At 38.9% G+C, this 24,850-nt stretch overlaps 2 long non-coding RNA genes across 4 annotated transcripts in view; both read left to right on the top strand.

Annotated features, from left to right (window-relative positions):
* The window catches only part of LINC02492 (long intergenic non-protein coding RNA 2492), a 139,764-nt gene that overhangs the window by 81,300 nt on the left and 33,614 nt on the right, over window positions 1–24,850 (top strand). The gene's annotated exons all lie outside the window — the stretch shown is intronic.
* The window catches only part of LOC105377604 (uncharacterized), an 81,735-nt gene that overhangs the window by 55,023 nt on the left and 1,862 nt on the right, over window positions 1–24,850 (top strand). For 2 of the 3 annotated variants that reach the window (XR_939614.3, XR_939612.3), the window contains exon 3: window positions 8,812–8,921. This is a non-coding gene — a long non-coding RNA (uncharacterized LOC105377604). Of the gene's footprint in view, window positions 1–8,811; window positions 8,922–12,513; window positions 13,939–24,850 lie in introns of those variants that run through there. The other variant, XR_939613.3, reaches the window with a different exon arrangement.

Below are 24,850 nucleotides of genomic sequence, written 5' to 3'. Positions count from 1 at the left end.
CAAGGAGGCCCATGGGCTTCTTTCAGCAGTTCTTTCTCTGAGGTCCCTCATAGATGGTCATCCTCCAGGCTTGCCTAGTGGCTGGGCTCTCACAAGCCATTCACTTCATAGTGATTTATTATTCATTCATTTGGCCAGTACATATGTAACATCTGCTGTCTGCCTGCCAGTATATTTGACACTGAGTACATAAAGATGGACACACGTGGAGAAACAGGAACACTTTTGTTTTATTTAGTTTGCATGAGCTGGTATCTCTCTTTTTGCTACTTTTGTCTTTTCAAAAATGGTGACTGTGAAGAATAATTTTAATTTTCTTTTTAAACATCTATTAAAAATATAAAGCAGAGTAAAAAGATAAATGTAAGACAAATGTGTTTTCTAAGACATAGTCCTATAAATATTTGCATAGTAATGGCATCTCTTTATTTCCCCTCCCAATCATAATAGTCACCCTCTCTAAAAGCGTGCACCCTAACACAAATGCATACACCTTACATTTCTAGGCTAAAAACATTTGGCTTCCTATTACACACTTCCCAATATCATTACCATATTTAAAACTACCTTTTGTCTACGCATGTCTGTAATCTGCTTTTAAATATAGTAACCAGAACTAAAAAGGTAACCAAATATTTTAAATACGGTAACCAGAACTAAACATGGATTTCTAGACATAAACTAACCAAGTGCCACTATATTTTTGTGTGTGTTGAACACTAATAGTTTAGTTTAAACTGCAGTCATTTTCAGAAGGAAGAAACACAACCAATCACACCACTGGCTCATATTGAGCTCACTGTGAACAAATAAACTTCTATGTCTTATTCACAGCGAATATCGGTAATTTGGGTTTTCTATTTATTTTATCCTTTCTACATTTCATCTTGCTCAGTTTTTGCCTTTTCTTTTGTTAGAGACAGGGTCACCCTTTGTTGTCCACGCTGGGGTGCTGTGGCTATTCACAGGCGTAATCATAGCTCACTGCAGTCTCCAACTCCTGGCCTCAAGCTGTCCTCCAGTCTCAGCCTCCAGAGTAGCTGAAACTACAGGTGTCTGCCACTGCCTCCAGCTCCCATCTTGCTGTTTTAGTTTTAATCTCATGTTTTCAGCCTATTAAACTTTTGGAATCATATTTTTGCTACTAGATGTACAGTTAGCCATGCCTCTTTGATTTAAATGATTTGTAAACTTGATACTCTCTATATCTTCAAGTTATTGATCTAAAAAAAGTGTGCACTGAGTCGGGGCCATGGACAAAAACTTCAGAAGAAAACAGATATCCTCTTTCAGCCTGATAATGGACAAATAATCAATCCTTTTTATTCTACAAGCCACAAGAAGACCTTGTTATTGAAACTTTTCAATCTTCTTATAAAAAATATCTTGATAACAACCCGAAGGCATGTCGTATTTACTGATTAGTATTGTTTGATAAAATTTCTCATGCAACCCATGCTAATCACTATTATTACATTTACTATCATTTTATTTTCATTTGCCAAGTACTAATGGAACACATCTTTGATGATCTGTTCTGAAATTTCATCAGAGTTAGACCTATATTTTATTTTCTTCTTTAGAAATAATTTACAATTGTTCTAATTTTATATGGTATGATATCTATAGGAGAGCATATATGTGTATATACATTCTTTTGTAACTGAAAGATAGGATTAGATCATCTAATCAAATCTCATTTTTAAAATGAACAAATACAGGCATAAGGAGATATATTTATGTCAGTGTAAAACTAATTATGTGTTTCATTTAGTGAGGTCCTTCACCATCTGCCAAGGACAATCCTAATTTACTTAAAGAAGTTAACTTCCAAGTTGAAGATACCCTCAGAGTTTCCAAATATGACTTTCCATCATTATGATGTTGAGCATATTTCAAAACTACAGTCAAGGGATTTTGTGATTGGCCTGACTCCATCTATTCCAAATAACTTACATTAATAAGAATTATCATTAGGTGATAAAGAGATGAATTGGACACAACCATCGCATTAAGTATAATACATGAGACTGTTGACCTTATATCTAATAACTGAAGGACACACCAAAAAAAGACAGGTTTCTGTGACATAAGCTGCAAGGCAGACCCAAAATTACTGATGTTTCTGTGATACAAGCTTGTTATAGAATATTTAACGTTTTATCTATAAATAATTTGAATTCTGCAGAGCTTGTTTGCAGGCGTTTTAAATCAGTATTAACTGTATCATCTTATTAACAATCAAAATTAAAAACCAATGGCAATTTATTTTTGCCTTTCTCAAATAAATTACATTTCTGTCTGCTACACAGATATAGCCTATTAATGTGATTTATTTAAAAAGATGAAAATAAAGCATGAATAAATAAAGCAAAAAAGACACAACCCTTAAAATGCTAATTCTCTTCTTTCCCATTATGTCTGAAAGTATACTCCCCTTTGCAAATGCCGGGCTCTGTGCTGCTTGGGTCAGGTCTACCGAAGTAAAGTGCTGTACAAGATTGCTGCAGTGGAAGTTCGAGCTTTTCTTTCATTTCGAATCAATCCAGACAGCTGTTCCTGGTCACTTTATGAAACTCTGTAGGCTTCCTCTTTGCTTTGGTTGTATGAAACTGGTTTGAAGACTTCAGCTTAAAAAAAAATAATAGTACAGTGGCATTCTGGTTGTCAGAAAAGCAGACTCTTGGTGCCTTAAGATCAAGAGATGGCTGGGCGTGGTGGTTCATGCCTGTAATCCCAGCATTTTGGGAGGTCGAGGCGGGTGGATCACATGAGGTCAGGAGTTCGAGACCAGCCTGACCAACATGGTGAAACCCCGTCTCTACTAAAAATACAAAAATTAGCTGGATATGGTGGTGTGCACCTGTAATCTCAGCTACTTGGGAGGCTGAGGCAGGAGAATCACTTGAACTCGAGAGGCGAGGGTTGCAGTGAGCCGAGATCATGCTATTGCACTCCAGCCTGGGCAACAAGAGCAAAACTCCATCTCAAAAAAAAAAGAGCAAGAGACTAATACATAATTTCAAGATTAATAATTACATTCACATCTACAATAACAGCAATTATTTACTGAATATTACCTATATGTCAGGTCTTTTTTTTTAATTTTAAAATTTCACAATCCGTAAGTGAATGCATCCTTATTGTAAATAATTCAGTCAATACACAGCAAACAAAATTCAACCTTGATAAATCTCTGTTCCTCCAATCCCCTACCCATATGCCTTCCCCTTAGAATTGATCACTGTTGCTCTTCATTTACATATGATACATATGATTTTACATATGTTCTATAAATATGTTTTATATGCCACATATGTTTATATGTGTAAATTCTATATTATATACTATTTTTTATTGTGGGCTTTAAAATATATATGGGACCAGTTTTTATATATTGTTCTTCAATTTAAAAAATAACAACAGTATGACTGAAAATTTCTTGGCAATATGTACAGATATGCATCGTTGCATTGAACCATGAACTACTAATTATCTTACAGTATTGTAAGTAGGGCATTTAGAGGCTGTCCTACCTTCTCAGTGATGAACAATACCTGTTTAGAGTATTTCTCTAGTGCAGACTCAAGGATTGGAGCTGTTAGATGAAAGAGTGTTTACATTTTACATTTTATAATATTCTACCAAATTCACCCCCCAAAAGAATGCATGGGTTTGTATTCACCAACACTGGTAGGAATGACTGCCTGCCTGTCAACAGGCTGTCTGACTATGGTGTTGTCGTATCCATCGCCATAGTTATCCCATACGTTTTCTAACCTGATGCATGCAGGTTGGCATCTTACTGATATTTTAATTTGCATTTCTTTGATTATCATTGTGGTTGAAAATTTTTGGTTTCTATTTATTGGCTATTCATGTTTCTTTTGTGAGTTGCCTGTCTTTATTTTTTGCTCATTTGTAAATTGTATTGTTTATACTTCTAAAACTAATTTTAGGAGTTTTTCGCATAGTCAAATATTCTAGATGTTTTTGGTTGTATATAATAATAATAACACCCAATGGTAATTGAGTCCTGGTACTGCTCTAAGCACTTTTTATAGATGACTGCATTTCATTCTTTCAGTACAGTGAGCCGGCACATCTGTCCCCATTTTACAAATAAGGGAATTGAGACACAGAGAGCTGAAAGACTGGGGTGTGTGTGTGTGTGTGTGTGTGTGTGTGCGCGCACGTAGCTTCTCATTTCGTCTGGAGGTCTCTCTCAGCAGAGTGGCTACAAACTTTAGCCCTGCCCTGATGAGATTCCTGGGCATTTGGTCACGGATGTTGACAGTGTGCCTTTTACTAACGACTTCATTCTGGCAGACAGCCTACTGCCTAAATGTCCAACCTGTGACCAGGCCTCCCTTCCACAAGAAGCTTGTTGATACTGGCAGACACCCTGTGGCTCTTGCCTGACCTGTGTGCAGTTTATTCCTACCAGGATGGCCGATCTCTAGGAGAGTCTTGACGGAGAAAGAAGCTGGGTTCAGGTGAGTCGGCCAGGTGAGACACAGTGGAGGCAGTACAGCGAAATCCAGAACAGAGCAGTTTTATTACTCACAGACCCCGCGGCGGGAGGGCAGCAGACCTTACGGGGCCAGCAGGAAGCGGGGAGCAGTCAGGGCTGTCAGGGACACAGGCTCAAGCAGAAGGTGCGGCTGACTGAGAGAGGGAGGACTTGGGGGCTGTGCCTTTATTGGGGTCCATGGGTGTTTTCCCCTAGGCCTTCCCTGTGCAGGTGTGGATGGGCGACTGTAAAGAAACCACGGCAAAGCGAGGAACTTTGTTATAGTTTCTGGTGCTGACCAGGAGGCTTCACCACCACCAGCAGCCGTGGGGTGTGCTGGGTTTCAGGTCAGTGAGATGAGGAAGAAGCAGGCTGTATCACAACTACTCACACGCGAGGGGAGGTTTAACTAGGACAAAGGTGATGGGGTGCGGCTGAGCTTCAAAAAATATATTAACGGCTGAGCAAGGTGGCTCACGCCTGTAATCCCAGCACTTTGGGAGGCCAGGGTGGGTGGATCCCCTGAGGTCAGGAGTTCAAGACCAGCCTGACCAACATGATAAAACTCCGTCTCTACTTAAAAAAAAAAAAATCCCAAAATTAGGTGTGGTGGCGCACGCCTGTAATCCCAGCTACTCGGGAGGCTGAGGCAGGAGAATCGCCTGAATCTAGGAGGCAGAGGTTGCGGTGAGCCAAGATTGCCCCATTGTACTCCTACTCCAGCCTGGTCGACATAAGCGAAACTCCGTCTGGGGGGGAATATATATATATATATATATATATATATATATATATATATATATATATAAAATGTCTGGCTTAGGAATGGATGCCAAAGCAGCAACTATATTAAACAAATTGATGACAATGACCTTGCCCAAGGTCACAGTTGGTGGCAGAGCTGGGCACAAAGTCAGACAGTCAGACAAACGCAGTCTACATCCTTTCTTCACCAATGTGTGGTATTGTCTTTGTATGTTTTCTAAGTGGAAGAGTTTCTCCCAGTCTGTCTCTTGACTTCTATTTATATTACTTTTATTATTATTATTATACAAAAATTTACATTCTATGTAGCCAAACTTGTCTGTCTTTCCCATTATTGTTTTTTTCCCAGTTATTACTTACAAGGCCTTCCATATTCTGAAAATTATTCTATTTTTTACAATAATATTATGGTTTTACTGAATCTGGAATATATGACATGTGAGCTGTAAAGTTATTTTTACCCCACAAATGGATAAATAGGTTTTCAAATTCTATTTTTATTGTATTTTCCTATCCATCCTTTTCCTACAATTTTGAATGATTTACCTTTATCATTCTGCACATGAGTTATACACATGGGTCAGTTTCTATATTTCCTATTCTGTTTCACAGATTGATTTTTTCCTTTCTTATGCCAAATCCTCACTTAAAACAGTAATGGAGATTAACTGAATTATTACAACTTTATGGTATGTTTTTATGTTGTTAAGGGCTAGTTCTTTAGCTTCACCTCACAGTCTTGTTCTTTTTAAAAAATTCCTTTGTTGGCCAGGTGTGGTGGCTCACACCTGTAATCCCAGCACTTTGGGAGGCCGAGGTGGGTGGATCACATGAGGTCAGGAGTTCAAGACCAGCCTGACCAACATAATGAAACCCCATCTCTACTAAAAACACAAAAAATTAGCTGGGCAAGGTGGCGGGTGCCTGTAATCCCAGCTACTTGGGAGGCTGAGGCAGGAGAATTGTTTGAACCCAGGGGGCAGGGGTTGCAGTGAGCCGAGATGGCGCAACTGCACTCCAGCCTGGGCGACAGTGCGAGACTCCATCTCAAAAAAAAAAAATTCCTTTGTCTATGTTTTTAAATTCACTCTTCCAGATGAAGCTTTGAATGGTAGTGTTTCTTGGAAACATGCTTATCTTTAAAAATTGAACAGAATTTATTAATTTAGGAATTAAAAACTTTTCTATTATATGGAACTCTCTTAACCTGGCGTAGGATGTAGGTCTGTTTTCACTTTCTTTTATGTTCTTAAATTCAATTTTATGTTTTTTTCATACAGGACTCACCCTTTTCTAATTAGGTATCTTCCTATGTAGATAAGTGTGTTGCTAGTGTAATTGAACATTTTAAGTTATATTTTCAAGTAGCCTAGTGCTGATGTTACTGATTTTGTCCTGCTTTTATTTTATATTTTGAGCTGGCTAAAGTGACTTACCAGTTTGTCAGTTGATTTTTTTTTGGCTTTTCTAGGTAGAATTTCTTTTTTCGTTGTTTCCAGTAATCCTATCACTCACGTTTAGCTTGTATATTTTTGGCAGGACTTTCTCTACAGTTTTGAATAGTACCAGTGATAGGGAGTATTTGTGTCTTGTTGCTGGGATATTTAACAAGCAGGCTTCTGATGTTTTCTGCTAAGTATATGCTGCAGGTTAAATACTGTTGGTACCCACCCTTTGTCAGGAGGTCATCCTCCACCCATTGGTTGCTAAGTAATTGTTCTATTCATTTGTCAGTTTGTTTTGTTTGTATTTAGAAAAGTGGGTGGATTTTATTAAGTAATACTCCAGTACCATTTTTATCTCTAAGACTCACAAAAATGATGCCAGGCTAGAGTGTGATGTGAGCTTCAATAGGATTAAGTAGAGGGACAGAAGCAGCATCACAAATACTAGAGAGAGGGTGGGGAGCTCTTAATAACCAAAGAAAGCCAAGGAGAGAAAACTCTACTTTGCCCTTTTTTCTGATGTTTCCCTCCAAAAAGTGGCAGAAGCCAGTTCTAAGGTGATTGGCTTCTCACAACCAAAACCGCATAGCAGTTAAAGACAAAATCTCCACGACTGTGTCCTAACCTAAAGTGACACAACCTGGGTAGATCTGAGTAGAATGAAAACACCGATTCGTCTGATTGCTCTTTGTAAATCAGGTATGTCCCAACTCTGGTATTCCTGGTCTTTGCTATTTGTTTAAACCAAATAGATGAACTGTTGTAAATTACATCAGCCAAATTCCATTCCAGGCCAATTTGGCAGCTGTCACATAGATATAAATGCAAGATTCATTTGGGTAGAAATATATGATTATCTAAAATTCAAATCAAATTCACTGATTGTGATAACGTATTTCTGCTTTGTGATTTCTACAACAACTATTTATCCTACTTGGATATGGTTGTATAATATCTTTCTAATGATTTTGTTGTGGCTATCGTTTAGATGCAAAATATAATTTCTTTTAGAAGAAACACAAAATTATGTTTAATAATGAAAAACAAAGCTATCCGCATAACAGCGAAATTTCTGATAACTACAGAAAAATTTTCTTGCTGTTTTAGTGTTCTTTTACTCAAAAAAAAAAAAAAAAGAAGAAGAAGAAGAAAGAAGGAGACCATGAAGGGCTTGTGAGCCAAAGGTCTGAGGCTTTTGGAGATGAGGGCAAGAGAAGCAGATATTGGGAAAAAGCTGTCAGAAGCCAGATCATACCCCTGCCCCCCATGAATGCTTCCTCATCTCAAGTGACGGAAGGCAATTTCCAAGCGCATGCTATGAGGTTCTGGGAATTTGGAGCCACGTGGCCTGGTCTGGCTCAGACATGAAAAATTTTATTTTACTTTAGTTACTCAAATTTTACTTCATTTTGGTTAAGAAGCTATTCAATGTCCTATTTAGACTCTTTGTGAAGAGAAGCCTTTACAGTAATCTTAATATTGCTGAAACTTATCAGATTTTTTTACCAAAAAGATGCAAAATTCCCTTGTTATTTTTTTCATTTGATCTAAGTTATAATGATAAATACAACATATCTTGCAAAAGAAAACAAATTAGCTCCTTTCGTAAGAGGAAGTTCTTCCTAGAAATTCCATTGTCTTTATTAAGAATTAAATGTGGTGGCTCGTGCCTGTAATCCCAGCACTTTGGAAGGCCAAGGTGGGTGGATCGCTTGAGTCCAGGAGTTTGAACCCACCCTGGGCAACATGGTGAGACCCCTTCTGTACACACATACACACACACACACGCACACACACACACACACACACAATTAGCCAGGTATGGTGGCATGCACCTGTAGTTCCAGCTACTCAGGAGACTGATGCAGAAGGATCACCTGAGCCCAGAAGGCAAATGTTGCAGTGAGCCAAGATCGTGGCACTTCACTCCAGCCTGGGTGACAGAGCCAAACCTTGTCTAAAATAAATAATAAATAAATAAATAAATGTGAATGCCCAGAGTAGTAGGAAACTTGGACAGCAGGATTCCTGCAAATATTTATGATTATATTATCACCTATTTTATTCCTTTTCCCCCTGCTGGTACAGATGCAGCTGGAGAGCCTGGGGTGAGAACATGAGCAGTCTATAATCAGAAAATCCCTTTGGGATAAATTGACAAAAATATAAACCACTCCACAAAGGAGAAATTGTAAATGGTAAGTGAATGGGATAATATTTTTAGTGAAAGAAGAGATTCAAATTTAAAAGATTGATATTTTATATTTATTAATTTGTATTTAAATAATATCTAGTTCTAGTAAAATGGATGTTCACACACCACTGGTAATAATGAAGGGGGAACAATCCCTTTAGAGAGCCATTTGTAAATGCATCAAGAGCAAAAACAATTTCCACCCATGGGTCACACATAAACAGTAAATAGCCCAAAAGGAGGAAAAATCTGTTACATAAAATTACATCCATTTCAACATCATTGATCATCATAAAAAATGAAGGAAAAACTCCTAGATTGTTTGCAAATAGGGTTTGATTAAGTAAATGATGGCACCTGCATGAAATCCCTAGCAATCTCACTTCTGAGGATTTATCCAAAGGAGATATACTAAAAGAATGCAAAATGTAATTGCAACATAATTTTCTTTTCTTTTTTTCTTTTTCTCTCTTTTTTAAGAGACAGGGTCTCACTCTGTTGCCCAGGCTGGAGTGCAACAGTGTGATCATAGCACACTGCAGCCTCGACCTGCTGGGCTCAAGGGATCCTCCTGCCTTGGCCTCCCAAAATGCTGGGATTACAAATTGTAATCTGTATTATAGTCTGACTGTTATGTTGGAAAAGCAAGACTCTTGGTACGGTATCAGGTATCAGCTTGCTATCTGCTGACTTCTTGTTACAACCATTCTGTAAAACTCATTCCTCCCATCTTCCTGGATGACAAGGAGCTCAGATCTCGTGGTCCCCCAACTCATTCTTAGATAGTGAAGAGTCCTACTGATGCTTATGGTTAGAAAAACAAAGAAGAATCACTTACAAATTAGTTTCTTTACTCTAGTAGAGTGATTACAGCTTCATATTTATTTAAAAAGATTCTTTCTTGTCTCCTCAGCCTCAGTCCTGTGATGGGAGGGAGGAAGATTTCCCCTCTGTTTTTCCCTCCTTTGCTTTTGTGGCTTCCCTCTCCGACCCCTTACACACTACATACATTCACTTAAAGGAGGCTGCCATGTTTCACTTCACTGATTGGAATGAGAAGGGACAGGCGCTCCTTTGGTCTGGCAGGTATTTAAGCCAACACGTCCCTCCTGGATGCTCACATGGGTTCTTTGAAGACCGTATTTCCAGGGATCTTTTACTTAGCGTTCTCTTAATATTGGTGAGACTTCTTTTTTAACAGGTTGCTGGTAATTTCGCTAATCTTTGAGGCATCTGGGAAGTCTTTCTCTTTCTGACGTGTTTTAGACAGTATTTGAGACAATTGCCACACATCCTTTGTCCAACAATGCAGTAACCTCTCCTTGCCAGCCAAGGTCTCCTGTGTTTTACATTTCTCTTGTCTGAGCCAGACCAGGCCACGAGGTTCCAAATTCCCAGAGCCTCATAGCATGCTCTTGGAAATCGCCTTACGTCACTTGAGATGAGGAGGAAGCATTCGTGGGGGGCAGGGATATGACCCGGCTTAACACAGTTTTTCCCAATATCTGCACAGGTCCTTCATGGCTCCTTCCCTCCTTCCCTCCTTCCCTCCTCTTTCTTTCTCTCTTTCTCCCTTTCTTTCTTTCTTTCTTTCTTTCTTTCTTTCTTTCTTTCTTTCTTTCTTTCTTTCTTCCTTCCTTCCTTCCTTCCTTCCTTCCTTCCTTCCTTCCTTCCTTCCTTTCTTTCTTTCTCTCTTTCTTTCTCTTTTTTTTGAGACAGAGTCTTGCTGTGTCACCCAGGCTGGAGTGCAGTGGCGCAATCTCACTCACAACCTCCACCTCCCAGTTTCCAGCGATTCTCCTGCCTCAGCCTCCCGAGTAGCTGAGATTACAGGCAAGCGCCACCACGCCCTGCTAATTTTTGTATTTTTAGGAGAGACGGGGTTTCACCATGTTGGCCAGGCTGGTCTCGAACTCCTGACCTCATGTGATCCACCCACCTCGGCCTCCGAAATGCTGCGATTACAGGCATGAGCCCCTGCGCCCGGCCCTTCATGGTTTCTTGACTTAACTTTGGAATATGGTAGCTAGTATTTTGGGACTTCAGTGATGGTCTAAATAATTATCACATTTTAAAGCCCTGTACCAATTACATTGTTTATTATGATCACAAAGCAGAAAAATTCTAAATATCCAACAATACAGACATTATTCAGTAAATTATTACTTAAATTTAATACAGTGCTGCCATAAAAACAAACAGTGGTTACCACTGGGGACATGTTTAGGATGTAACACTAGGCATATAATACATGACACAAACTTACATATACTCTATGAGGACAATTATATAAAATAATATATAAAGTATTGTAAAGTGTTAAAGTATTAAGATTTTAAACAATATTTTATTTTTTCTCACAGCAGAAAAATTTTTACACATTAAAAATCATTTTTTTGGAAAATAATTTATTGTGAAAGGCTAACTCAAAGCATTTGAAAACTTGTATGTCCTGTAGAAATAGTATTTGTTGGAGTTTGAGACACAGAGGTTTTTTGCTCTTTAAAATATTGTTTAATTTTGTATGTCTTTTGACAGTGGCATGATAACATTGGAAGCAGGCTCTATAGACTCAGCAGGAAACCATGCCAGTGCTATAAGCTTATGCTTTGTTATTCTAGAATTGTGCATTCTTTGATGGCTGGGATCATATTTAATTCAGTTTTATATTTCTTTTTTTTGTTGTTTTTTGAGATGGAGTCTTGCTCTGTTGCCCAGGCTGCAGTGCAGTGGAGCCAACCTCCACCTCCCAGGTTCAAGCGATTCTCCTGCCTCAGCCTCCTGAGTAGCTGGGACTACAGGCACCCGCCACCACACCCAGCTAATTTTGTAGTTTTAGTAGAGATGGGGTTTCACCATGTTGGCCAGGATGGTCTCGATCTCTTGACCTCATGATCCACTCACTTTGGCCTCCCAAAGTGCTGGGATTACAGGTGTAAGCCACTGCACCAGCTGCATTTTTATATTTCTAAAACTTGCACAGTTATTCACAGAGGAAGTATCAATAAATATATGAATTAATAAATGCACTCATAAATCAAATAGATATTTATATTGGGTCCTATTTTTAAATTCTTACTTCTGTTATCTTTTCTATGGTCTTAATTCAAGCTATGTGATACAAGGCACATCTAATTAATTTATGGTGTTGCATGCCATATATACACACACACACACATATATATATATACACACAAACACATGTATCTTTCTTCAGGCATCTGAGAATGTAGGATAATTATTAGCTAGAAAATCATGGTAACTTTATCATCTAACTTAGCACCCAACCTTCTTCTCTCTTCTTATTTATCACGGTTCTTGGCTAATGTCCCACGGAGCTATTTCTCCTATTCTCACGTCATGATTTGGTAGTAAATTTGTATTTAGGGATGTAATCTTCCTCTTATTTCGGTAAAAACATGACGTGCAGTGTGAAACACCAGTTATATAGCTTCTATGAAAAGCCAACTTGAGGAATTTAGATAAAATGTCAACTTTATGATTTTGAATATCTGAAGGTCCTGCCTGCTCTGGTTTTTCTTCTTGATTAATTATCTGACAAATTTTTACTTCACATCTGCTTTTTATTACCTCAGAAAATGACATGAGAAGGAAGAAGATCACTTCAGAGAGCCTGCAGCTCAGAACAGTGGGAACATCAAAGGTTCCCCATGTGTCATTTCATCTGATCTTCATGTTGTAAGGGGTCTGTATTACTGTTTCCATTTTAAAGACCACGAAACCAAAGGGCTAGGGAAGTAACTCGCTCACATTCCCACATTAAATGGAAAAGTTGAATCTGAAGCCAGATCTTTCTGATTCCAAAAGTTTAGGAGTCAATAAAGCCAATTTGTTTCCCACTTTGTGTAGGAGTGGGCAACTATTTATTTCCTGGATGTCAGCTTCTTCATCTGGAGTTTCCTCCAGTTTCCCTGTACTTCTAGAATCCCATGATTGTAATTTCTACTGATATAATCAATAGGATTTACTTATTTTGAATCTCAGACTTTGCAGAATGATATGCTTGTTTCAGACCCTTTAAACACCAGGAGTCAGATGCAGTTCATCAGCTGACAGAAGGCTCAGTCATGTACTGCAGCATATGCTTTAGAGGAGTGCACACCACTGTGGTCTGAAACAAAAGCTTCCTGAAGGCTTAGCGAGCTCTGCACTGCGGTAGGCACGATATCTGGTGCAAGAACAAGCCTGTATTCGGAGGTTCAGGAACGCTGGCTCTTAGCCCTTTCCAAGACATTTCTTTCAAGCGCATAGAGATGAATGAAGCAGATTGATCAAAGTGCTATCCTTACAACTCTTTGTAGTGTGATTGCTGCAAACTGTTCTTGTGGGAGCATTCAGGGCCAAGTTTCTGTCATCTATATTTTATAATATCCATGAGTTGAGAATTCTTTGTAATTCTCATTTTTATGTATATTACAGGCAGCTAGAATGGGAGAAATATAAGCCTATTACAATTTGGAGGGAGACCTTTAAAGACAATTTTTTAAATGCAAAGGCATTGTTGCATTAGGCACAGCATTCACAGTATAATTAGAGTAAATCGAAATGCTCCTGCATCAGTTTCATTTTTGGAAAATGTTAATTGCTTGTTGCTTTATGTGCTGTTGATATGATGGACTTCCTTAATTAGATTATGAGTTTTGGTTGGAAAGTCCAGCTTCAGGGTAATTAAAACACTGGATAATTCAGCATATTTCCTAAAACTTATACTCTGAAAATATTCTTGTAACTATCTTGCCATGTCTTCCCTCTTTTATATGACTTTTACCTTTTTTATTCTTCATGGAAGAACAGTATTAGGGATTGTTCCTGATGGGTTCCTGTTAGAAATAGATTTTAATTTGGACAATCCTTCTCTTGGTGTATTGGATGAGCTGCATCCGTCAAAAAGAGAGGCTTGCAGTGGTCATTTGAAGTCCTGCCTCTGTCTGCCAGGCTGTGCTTGGGCAGCAAGAACCCCTACCTACGCCCAGAAATAAAGTGTCATTTAATTGTTGGCGTATTTCTGGTGCATTTCTGGGAGCTTATGGACATTGTAAAGTAATACCCTGGACGTATGGTTCAATATCAGCCCCTATGAATTGCAGCAAAGACTTATTTCTTTGGGGAAAGAAAGAGATAGAAAACAAAAAGAGGATAAACATGAAGCAAGTGACTATAAAATATAAAAAACAGAGATACTTAGATTCCAAGAGAAAATGCCAAAGGAAAGGAGCAAGTAAGATTATGGACACTTGTGAAATCAAATGAGAGAGGAAAATGTGGCAATGCAGTCCACAGAAGAGAAAAGGGGTAAGTGAATTTTTCTGGGAGGAAAAATGATCATCAAAATGGTCAATGGATTACAGAAAATAACTTATGAAAGCCTCAGAACTGTTCCATCCTCATACATTTGGCTTCAATTTCCCTGGGGCCCAGTGGAAACAGGGTCAGCCATGCCTGAAGCCCTGAGCTTCCTGGCACCCATCCAATGGCCTCCTCCTGGTCCCCAGCACAGCCTGCTTCTAAAGGGGCAATGAGATGTAATGGAACACACCAATCTCCACATTGCAGCTTTGATTCAGGATGAGTTAGCTCACCCTACAGAGTCAGTTTCCTCCTTGGAAAAAGGAGATAATAATACATAGTATTAGCATAAATAATAATACATAGTATTAGAATATAACAGGAATAAATAACATAAATTAAGATAATATTAATATGTGGAAACCTCCTTGAGCATGCTAACGACTCAATACATTCTTCTTCCTCATGACTTGTTTTTCTTTTTAATAACAGTAGTGTCTCTGTTCACTTTCAAGGTGACATTGATACTTTCCTCCTTTAGGCACTGGTTTTGCATTAGCTTTCTGGGCGCCTAGACTCGGATTTGGCAGTGTTGCCTTTTCTTGTATATAAAGAAGCCCGGGCCTCACAAACCCTCTCCTTTTTGCAACTGTGGTAAAATATTCCAACTTCTTTTACTGCTCTGTGACTTACACAGTGTTGTCACTTACTTTCCATATCTTAAACTCTACAAGACATAAGTTTTGGCCAGGTGTGGTGGCTCACACCTGTAATCCCAGCACTTTGGGAGGCTGAGGCAGGCAGATCACGAGATCAGGAGATCCAGATCATCTGGCTAACACGGTGAAACCTCATCTCTACTAAAAATACAAAAAAAAAAAAAAAAGTAGCCGGATGTGGTGGCATGTGCCTGTAATACCAGCTACTCGGGAGGCTGAGGCAGGAGAATCACTTGAACCTGGGAGGTGGAGGTTGCAGTGAGCTGAGATCGTGCCACTGCACTCCAGCCTGGGCCAAGTTAATGTAGTTGATCTTTATTTAAATTTTTCACATATTTACCAGTCTTGTCATATTTTATTCCCTTCTATATTCACAACTTTCTAACTGGGATTATTTTCCTTCTGCCAGAAAATTGTATTTAGTGACAAGCTCTGTTCTGTGTGTCTGAAAATGTCTTTATTTTGCCTTCATTCCCATTGGAAGATTTTTGCTGGAAATGAATTTCTGAGTTTTCTGTTAGCATTTTGAAAATATGATTCTACGATTTTCCAGCTTGCCCTGTTTCTGTTGAAAAATCTGTTTTCAGTTTACGTAGCAAGTTACATGCCTGCTATCTCTGAGTACTTTTAAGATTTCCATGTATTTGATGTTCAGCAGTTTCATTAAAATGGATTGAATATATATTATTTATTTTGTTTGATATTTCTTGGGATTCCAGTATCTCTGAATTGATGTCTTTCATCATTTCTGAATAATTTTCAGCCACTCACTCTTCAAATACTGCCTTTGTTTTCTTCACCCTTCTTAAACGACAATCTTACCTTTTCTTTCATTTATTTGGTAGCATTGTGAAGACTTTATATTCACTGCCTCCACTTCTTTAGTGTCATTCCTTGCTTGGGCTGCCATAACAAAATGTCATAGCTTGGGTGGCTTGTAAAACAGAAAATTTTTCTTACCATTCTGGGGGCTAGGAAGCCCCATGATCTGGGTGCCTGCAGATTTAGTTCTTGGTAAGGGACTTCTTCCTGGCTTGCAGATGACAGCCTCCTATTTGTCTTTTAAAGACATTAATCTAATTTAGTCCCATTTGTCTTTGTTGTTGTTGCATTTACGTTTGAGAACTTGGTTATAAATTCTTTGCTAGGCCAACGTCCAGAAGAATTTTTCGTAGGTTTTCTTCTAGGATCTTTATAGTTTTTGGTTTTACATTCAGGTCTTTAATCTGTCTTGAGTTAATTTTAGTATATGGTGAGAGGTATGGATCCAGCTCCATTCTTCTGCATACAGCTCTCCAATTTTCCCAGTACCATTTATTGAATAGGGTGTCCTTTCTCCAGTGTATATTTTTGTTGATTTTGTCAAAGATCAGTTATTTGTAGGAATGTGGCTTTATTTGCGGATTCTCTATTGTGTTTCAGTGTTCTTCATGTCTATTTTTACACCAGTACCATGCTGTTTTAGTTTCTGTAGTTTGTAGTATACTTTGAGATCAGATGATGTGATACTTCCAGCTGTGCTCATTCTGCTTAGAACTTCTTTGGCTATTTGGGCTCTTTTTTGGTTCCATATGAATTTTAGGATTTTTTTTTCTAATTCTGAAAAATGATGTTGGTAATTTGATAGGAATTGTGTTGAATCTGTAGATTACTTTAGGCAGTATGGTCATTTTAATGATATTGATTCTTCCAATCCATAAGCATGGAATGTTTTTCTATTGTTTGTGTCATCCATGATTCCTTTCATCAGTGTTTTGTATTTGCTTCTGCACAGCAAAAGAAACAATCAATAAACAGATAATCTACAGAATGGTAAAAAATATTTGTGAGCTATGCATTTGACCAAAGGCTAATATCCAGAATCTACAAGGAATTCAGACAACTCAACAAGGCAAAAACAACCCCATTAAAAAGTGGGGGAAAGACATGAAAAGACATTTTTTCAAAAGAAGACATACAAATGGTCAAGAAAAATATAAGCAAATTCTCAACATCACTAATCATCAGATAAATGCAAATTAAAACCACAAGAATATACCATCTTACACCAGAGAAAATGCCTATTATTAAAAAGTCTAAAAACAACAGATGTTGGTGAGGATGCAAGAAAAAGGGAACACATATACATTGTTTTTGGAAATGTAAATTAGTTCAACCTTTCTGAACAACAGTACAGAGATTTCTCAGAGAACTAAAAAAAGAACTACCATTCAATCTAGCAATCTGACTACTGGGTATCTACCCAAAGGGAAATAAATCATTACATCCAAAAGACACCTGCACTCCTGTGTTTATCACAACACTATTCACAATAGCAAACATATGGAATCAAACTAAGAGTCCATTAACAGACGACTGCATAAAGAAGATGTGGCATATATATTCCTTGTAATACTACGTGAACATAAAAAGAATAAAATCGGCTGATTGCAGTGGCTCACACCTGTAATCCCAGCACTTTGGGAGGCTGAGGCGGGTGGATCATGAAGTCAGGAGATTGAGACGATTCTGGCCAACACAGTGAAACCTCATCTCTATTAAAAATACAAAAAATTAGCCGGTCGTGGTGGCGGGCGCCTGTAGTCCCAGTTACTCGGGAGGCTGAGGCAGGAGAATGGCGTGAACCCGGGAGGCAGAGCTTGCAGTGAGCCGAGATCGCACCACTGCACTCCAGCCTGGGCGACAGAGCCAGACTCCGTCTCAAAAATAATAATAAAAAAAAAGAATAGAATTATGTCTTGCAGCAACATGGATGGAACTGGAGGCCATTATCCTAAGTAAAATAAATCAGAAACAGCACATTCTCACTTATTAGTGGGAACTAAACAATGTGTACACAAAAACATACAGAATGGAAAATTAGATATTGGAGACTACAAAAGCTGGAAGGTGGGAGGGGGGTGAGGGTTGAAAATTAACTGTTGTGTACAGTGTTTCCTGCTCAGGTGATGAGTACACTAAATGCCCAGACTTCACCAGTACACAGTATATGCCTGTAAGAAACCTGCACTTTCACCTCCTAAATCTATAAAAATAAAATCAGTAAGGACACTCATCTTCTCATGAGGGCTCTACCTTCATGACCTAATTACCTCCCCAAGGTCCCTTTTCCAAATTCCATCACATTGGAATGAGGGCTCCAACATATGGGTTTTAGGGCGTCACAATCCAGCCGGTAGCATTTACCAAATATTGCTATTCATTGCTCTATATCTTAAATTTTTCCTAACATACTAAAGCTGATTTCTTCAAGCTTTCCTGTTTATTTTTGCTCCCTAAATCTAGTCTTTACTTATTTCTCATTCTCTTCCATTTCTCTGTATGGTTCATCAATGTTTGTCATCTTGTTCTTTTCATTTTAAAATTTCTTCTCTTCCTGATTTCAAGAGAAAACTGGCTGGGCATGGTGGCTCACACCTGTAATCCCAGCACTTTGGGAGGCCGAGTCGGGTGGATCACCTGAGGTCAGGAGTTTGAGACCAGTCTGGCCAACATGGAGAAACCCCGTCTCCTCTAAAAATACAAAAATTAGCTGGGCATGGTGGCGGGCGCCTGTAATCTCCACTACTCGGGAGGCTGAGGCAGGAGAATTGCTGGAACCCGGGAAGCGGAGGTTTGCACTCCAGCCTGGGCAACAACAGCGAGACTCTGTCTAAAAAAAAAAAAAAGAAAGAAAGAAAACCAACTTTATATCATTCTTCCACATTTCCCACATCCCCTTTCTCCTCTCACTTTCACTAAGAGTTATTTTACAATCTCTTTGCTTTCTCTATCATCTCTCCCTCAGAGATCCCCCTCCCTGCCCACTCTTATCCAGGGTTATCCCACCTCTAGCCAGGGCTGCCCTTCAGTGGGCAGGCACTCCCTTGGCAACGTCGTGCATTTATGGCCACTGTGCCTTCGGGGCTGTCAGTGCTGTGCTCCACTGGCCACTTTGAATATGTCCTTAATACCACCCCTGATTATGATCCCAACTGCTGTGACTGTCACTGTTCCAGGGCCCATATGTTCACCGGCTTTGGAAACATTTCCATTTGACTTACTTCAGACTTTGTGTTTTTGTTTTTGTTTTTTCGAGGCGGAGTCTCGCTCTGTCGCCCAGGCTGGAGTGCAGGGGCGCGATCTCGGCTCACTGCAAGCTCCGCCTCCCGGGTTCACGCCATTCTCCTGCCTCAGTCTCCCGAGTAGCTGGGACTACAGGCGCCCGCCACCACGCCCGGCTAATTTTTTGTATTTTTAGTAGAGACGGGGTTTCACCGTGTTAGCCAGGATGGTCTCGATCTCCTGACCTCGTGATCCACCTGCCTCGGCCTCCCAAAGTGCTGGGATTACAGTCGTGAGCCACTGAGCCCGGCCTTACTTCAGACTTCTTAAACTGAATGTGCCTAGAGCTAAAATCACTGTCTCCACCCTCACTTCCACCCCCTTTTTGCCCCCAAATGTTCTTAATGATATCTACATACTTCTAAATAGTAGCACTTTTTTTTTCAGTCACGCAGGCATGAAACATCAAGAACATTTTTAGATTTTATCTTTTCTTTTATTCTATCTATTGACAGTTTGTTTCTTTTTTTTCTTTGCATACTTCTCTGAAATCTTTCCTCTTTCTTTCCATTACCATTGGCATAACTGAATCCAAGCATGTTGTAATGCGGACTTCACACTGATTCCTACTCATCTCATCCATCCAACGTGCCAGAGCCACACTGATGTCAAAACGGCACACTTTCCAAACATTGTTTCCCATTCACGAATGCCACCGTGGCCTGGAGTGATGACACTTCCTGGATTATCTGTGTGAAAAACCCAGTTTTGTTTTTGTTTTTAATTTCCAATTCTCAGGTAACAATATCTTTGTAAAATATAATAAGATGAATTGTGCAAGAATGAACAAAACACATATAAAACACATTGCCATTTTTAAGTTCTGTGTCTCAACAGATATAAAATTACTTCATCAAACTGCTATACAGTTTTTACCCTTTCACTATTCAATTTCTCTTCATGGGCACTAATCCTTTGAAAACTAGCACAGTCTACAGACCACACGCCAAGTGGACCGCGCTTCAATCACCATGACGCGGACCCTCTACTGTACCTACAGGGCAGGATCAATAGAGGAATCTTAAAATATGCAGATGTCCATGCACCTGAGAGCTAATGAATAGGATCTCTGGGAGTGCTGCCAAGGCGTGGGCATTTCAAAAAAAAGCTGCAAAATCGACTCTGATTCTGAGCCAGGCCTGAGTACTACTGGCTTTGGAAAAGAGTGAAAACTTACAATTCTCTATAATCTAGTTCCAATCTATATTTTAAATATTATCAAAACCACTTCTTTCTTTCACATACCCCATATTCTAGTCAGCCAGGGTGGTTGGCCTTCCTACAATATGATCTGTTCTAGGCTGGGCATGGTGGCTCATGCATGTAATCCCAGCACTTTGGGAGGCCGAGGCAGGTGGATCATGAGGTCAGGAGATCGAGATCACCCTGGTTAACATGGTGAACCCCTGTCTCTACTAAAAATACAAAAGCAAAATTAACTGGGTGTGGTGGCGTGCACCTGTCATCCCAGCTATTCGGGAGGCTGAGGCAGGAGAATGGTGTGAACCCAGGAGGCAGAGCTTGCAGTGAGCCAAGATCACGCCACTGCACTCCAGCCTGGGCGACAGAGCGAGACTCGGTCTCAAAAAAAAAAAAAAAAAAAAAAGATCTGTTCTTTCCCACCTCTGTTGTGCACTTCCTATTTTTTCTCCAGTTTTCCAGTCTGGAATGTCCTTTCCACCATCTCCACCTGTCAAAATCCAGTTCATTCTTCAGTGCCCACGCACTGAAATGCCCTATGTATGAGACCATTACTAATTAATTGCAAACATTAATTTTACTCTCATCTAAATGTATTACTTTGGCACTTATGATACCTATCAGTTTATTTGGATTATGGTTGTATAGGCATTGTGTCATGGGGGAAAAATAGTTATATTCAGGAGAACTGCATATGAGTATAGATTTCTCCTCTTTCTAGCTGTATCACCTTGGGTAAATCCAATTCCTTTTCCAAACCTGAACACTGGGAATGAAATTCTTAACCTTCATCACAAGATAGTTATTATAAGTAAATATATGTAAAACAATATAAATACAAGATATTATTGTCTGCTTTGTTAGATTATGAGCACGTTTGAGGATAAAAGTAAGTAATATAAATCTCTACATTTCTACACACCCAGAAAAATATTTCCCACAGCAAGAATTCAGTATGAATTTTTCAACTTAGTGAATAAATGAGTAAGTAGATTCCTTACATAGTAAGATTTCTAGGATGTTTCCCATAGGCCATCCCGTTCAAAATTACTTCCAGCGGTTTATTTATTGTTAATGCCTGCCATTCCAGCATTAAAGTTTCTCCTTTGGATTAGCAGCAACTATGTTATCAAAGATAATTTTTTAAGTCGTTCTTACTTACGCCTTTATGTAAATCTCCTCATCAAAGTATTTTATCTCCTGACAAAGAAGTGTCCCGAGTCACATAAAGACACAGAGAAGTTACTGGAGAGATGGGAGAGTGGTTTTGGGCATACCAAAGATAAATTTAGTTAATTTCACCTTTTTTTTAATGAAAGGAAGTTGACCTGATCAAATTACAACAGCTTGTCTTTATTGATAAGTTACTACATAATAGATATGTTATTAATGAATTTCCTAGAAATAGTTATCAGTAACATTTGTTGTTATAGTCAGAAAGTAGGTGTTAGTCAACTAGGAGGTAATGGAGAAATAATCTGAACTCACATTTGATGCTAGAGTCCAAGCTCTTGATCATTAAACTCAACTGCATTTAGAGCAGACTTCAGTGAAACCCAAGGAATATTTACTGCCATTCAATAATTACTTGTCTAAAAGCTAACTGGGGCTAAGGTTGAGTGTAAAAATGTCTAGGACATAGAGTCCTGATCTCAAAGACCCTATATTCCAGTGGCAGAAAAAGTCAAATAAAAATTACAAAATCCAAACCAGAGTATGATGGTCTCATGCAAGGAGACTTGAGCATGGCGTCGGCTGGGAGAGGTGAGTGATGTCATGCTTCCAGGAGAAGGCCTCGTCACCAATCGTCTTAGTGAAAAGGCGCCAAGAAGCCTCTTCAGCATGAGCAGAGAATAGGCAGAACAAGAGAATAAGATGAGAAGTGCGGAGTATTCCATGCCGGAAGGAATCTGCAAAGGCGTGGAAGTGAGAGTGTCAGGTGCTTGGGGACACTTATTCAGAGGTTGTGTCTGGAGGGTGTAGTTAGAGAATTGAAGAGACAGGTGACATAAGTAGAATCCAGTGAAGATTCAGAACCCACAATTATTTTAGGGCTCATTTACCCTGTGGTTTAGAAGAAAAGAGAAAGATGCAATATTATGGATCTTGAATTAAGATCTCTGGAAAAAAGAATGCATGCTGAATTCTTATTTGAAAGAAAGTGTAATCCAGACCTTCACTCATACTTCTCTATGCCTTTATTTTTGCAATTGCTTTCAACAGGAGCCACCTAGTCAGGTACATGTTAACATTTACCACAAATAGATACTGGAAGCCAAGGAAAGTTTCATGATTAAGATTCCTGACAAAGCCATGACACTTGCTTTAGTTAAATTCAATCTACATGAAAATTATTGCACTAAATATTAAACACCAAAGGATTCTAGGGATATGGCAGTTAGAACGCATTCCAACTGTGCTTCCCTCCTAACTCCAATCAACTGGTCAACCATCCCTCCTGGGTCCAGCAGCTATGGGTTCTTTAGGTGTTCAGGCCTGGGAGGTATGAGCAAGGCCTCTGGGAAAAGCTGAGGCTGCTGATTGCTGCAGTCCCCCAAAATCAATGTGGGACAAACTGTAGATACAAGGAGAAAGATACCAGGAAGAGAGAGAGAGACAGACAGACAGACATAGAGAGAGAGAAGGGATGGAGGGAGGGAATGAGGAAGGGAGAGATGGAGGGAGAGAGGAGAGAGAAACCACCCTAGGGAGACTGAAGGCTGGCTTGAGTTGATGTGGATGGGAAAACTAGGTAGATGGTCCTGGTTTGAACCATGGTTGAAAGTTTTGGCAAGAGAACAACATAATAGATTGTAGAAAAGTTTTCATAATTCATTAAAAAAAATTCCTCCAGAATAGCAAAAAGTAACAATAGCCCAGTTTCTTACAGATGTGTTCTGAAGTTATAGTAAGCAGATCAAAAGTCTTGTAAGGTTGGGAAATCTTTGGAAAAATGTGGACCTACCAGCCGCCCTTAGACATTCACTCCTCTAGCCTCTCACAGCACTCAGGGCTGGTGGACCGGATCCTAGAGAGGCTGCCCTTTCCGAGTGGGGCTTCATCTTTTTTTTTTTTTTGGAGATGGAGTCTGGCTCTGTCACCCAGGCTGGGGTGCAGTGGCTCAATCTTGGCTCACTGCAACTTCTGCCTCCTGGGTTCAAGCAATTCTCCTGCCTCAGCCTCCCAAATAGCTGGGACTACAGGTGCCCACCACCATGCCTATTTTTTTGTTTTTTTTTTGTATTTTAGTAGAGATGGGGTTTCACCATGTTGCCTAGGCTGGTCTCGAACTCCTGAGCTCAGGCAATCCACCTGCCTCGGCCTCCCAAAGTGCTGGGATTACAGGTGTGAGCCAACACGCCTGGCCAGAGCTTCATCTTAAGACTTTGAAGTACAGCCATGATCAGAAGGACTGTTTGGAGGAATGTCATTGGATGAGAGGGATCCTACAATGCCTGGGCTCTCTGCATTTTATCTTAACCCTAGCTTTTTCCTCAAACTTACCCAAGACTGGCACAAATACGGCCCTTACACCTTTATGAGCTGAAATAAAGAAACAAGATGAAATAGTCACTATATATCCTGTAAATGAGAATTGTCAGAGCAGGTAGACTAAGAATTTTATAAATGGATGATAAGTATAGTTAAGATGATAATCTAAGATGTTAACAATATAAAATAAGAAATAATCATAAAATAGAATATAGGAAAAATATTATATAATAAAATATAATTGCTGATATAAAGAACATAATAGATGGAATATTTTGATGTTTACAGCTGAAGAGTAAATAAGTGAGTTTAAAGATCAGATTAAGGAATTCCTTGAGGGAATAAAGAAAGAGAAAACATAATAGAAAAACTGAAAGATATAGAGAATACAATAAATATCAATACCTGGATGAGTCCCAAAAGGAGAGAAAAGTGAAAAGATAAGGGGAAAAATGCGGAGAATTAATAGACATTTTTCAGAATTAAAGAAACTTGAAAGACTTCAAATTGAAGAGTTTATCAAGGAAAAATGGAAAGATAAGGAACAATTTGCATTTAAATATTATAATGAGAATTAAGAATTCAAAGGCAGGAAAATTTAAAGAATGTCAGCAAGAAAGATCATCTGCAAAGAAACAATCAGATTAGCTGACTTCTCAGTAGCAAACTAAATATAATAGGAAAATTTAGGGTTATTTTTAATGTACTAAAGAAAAAGAACTATGAATCTAAAGAGAAGCTGACTCATAAAAATGAAGGCTTTATAAAAGTATTTTCATATGTTTTTTCATACATTTAAAAGGCCTCAGAACTTTTAACTATAAAATGGCCCTCATTTAAAACACATTTTGAAGAAAAAAAAAACAGATATTAAGGATAAATATATATCTTAGTAAAACTCATTTTTGTTAGGTAAGTAGAAGGATGAAAACAAGTAAAAGTCTATCCACAGCAATCTAAAACTGAAGCCCTAGGAAATAACAACATAATCACTAGAGGCAAGACAAAATAAATATTAGAAACAATCTAGTTTTTATTGTGTTAGGAGGAAGATGTGAATATATATAAATTTAGGAAATTAATAAGGACAGAATAAAAAGAGTATGGGTCA

This window comes from Homo sapiens, chromosome 4 (assembly GCF_000001405.40).
Source record: "Homo sapiens chromosome 4, GRCh38.p14 Primary Assembly".
In the NCBI taxonomy this organism is placed as follows: Eukaryota; Metazoa; Chordata; class Mammalia; order Primates; family Hominidae; genus Homo; species Homo sapiens.
The sequence above is the reverse complement of the archived record's forward strand: the minus strand, read 5'-3'. Positions and strand labels throughout refer to the sequence as shown.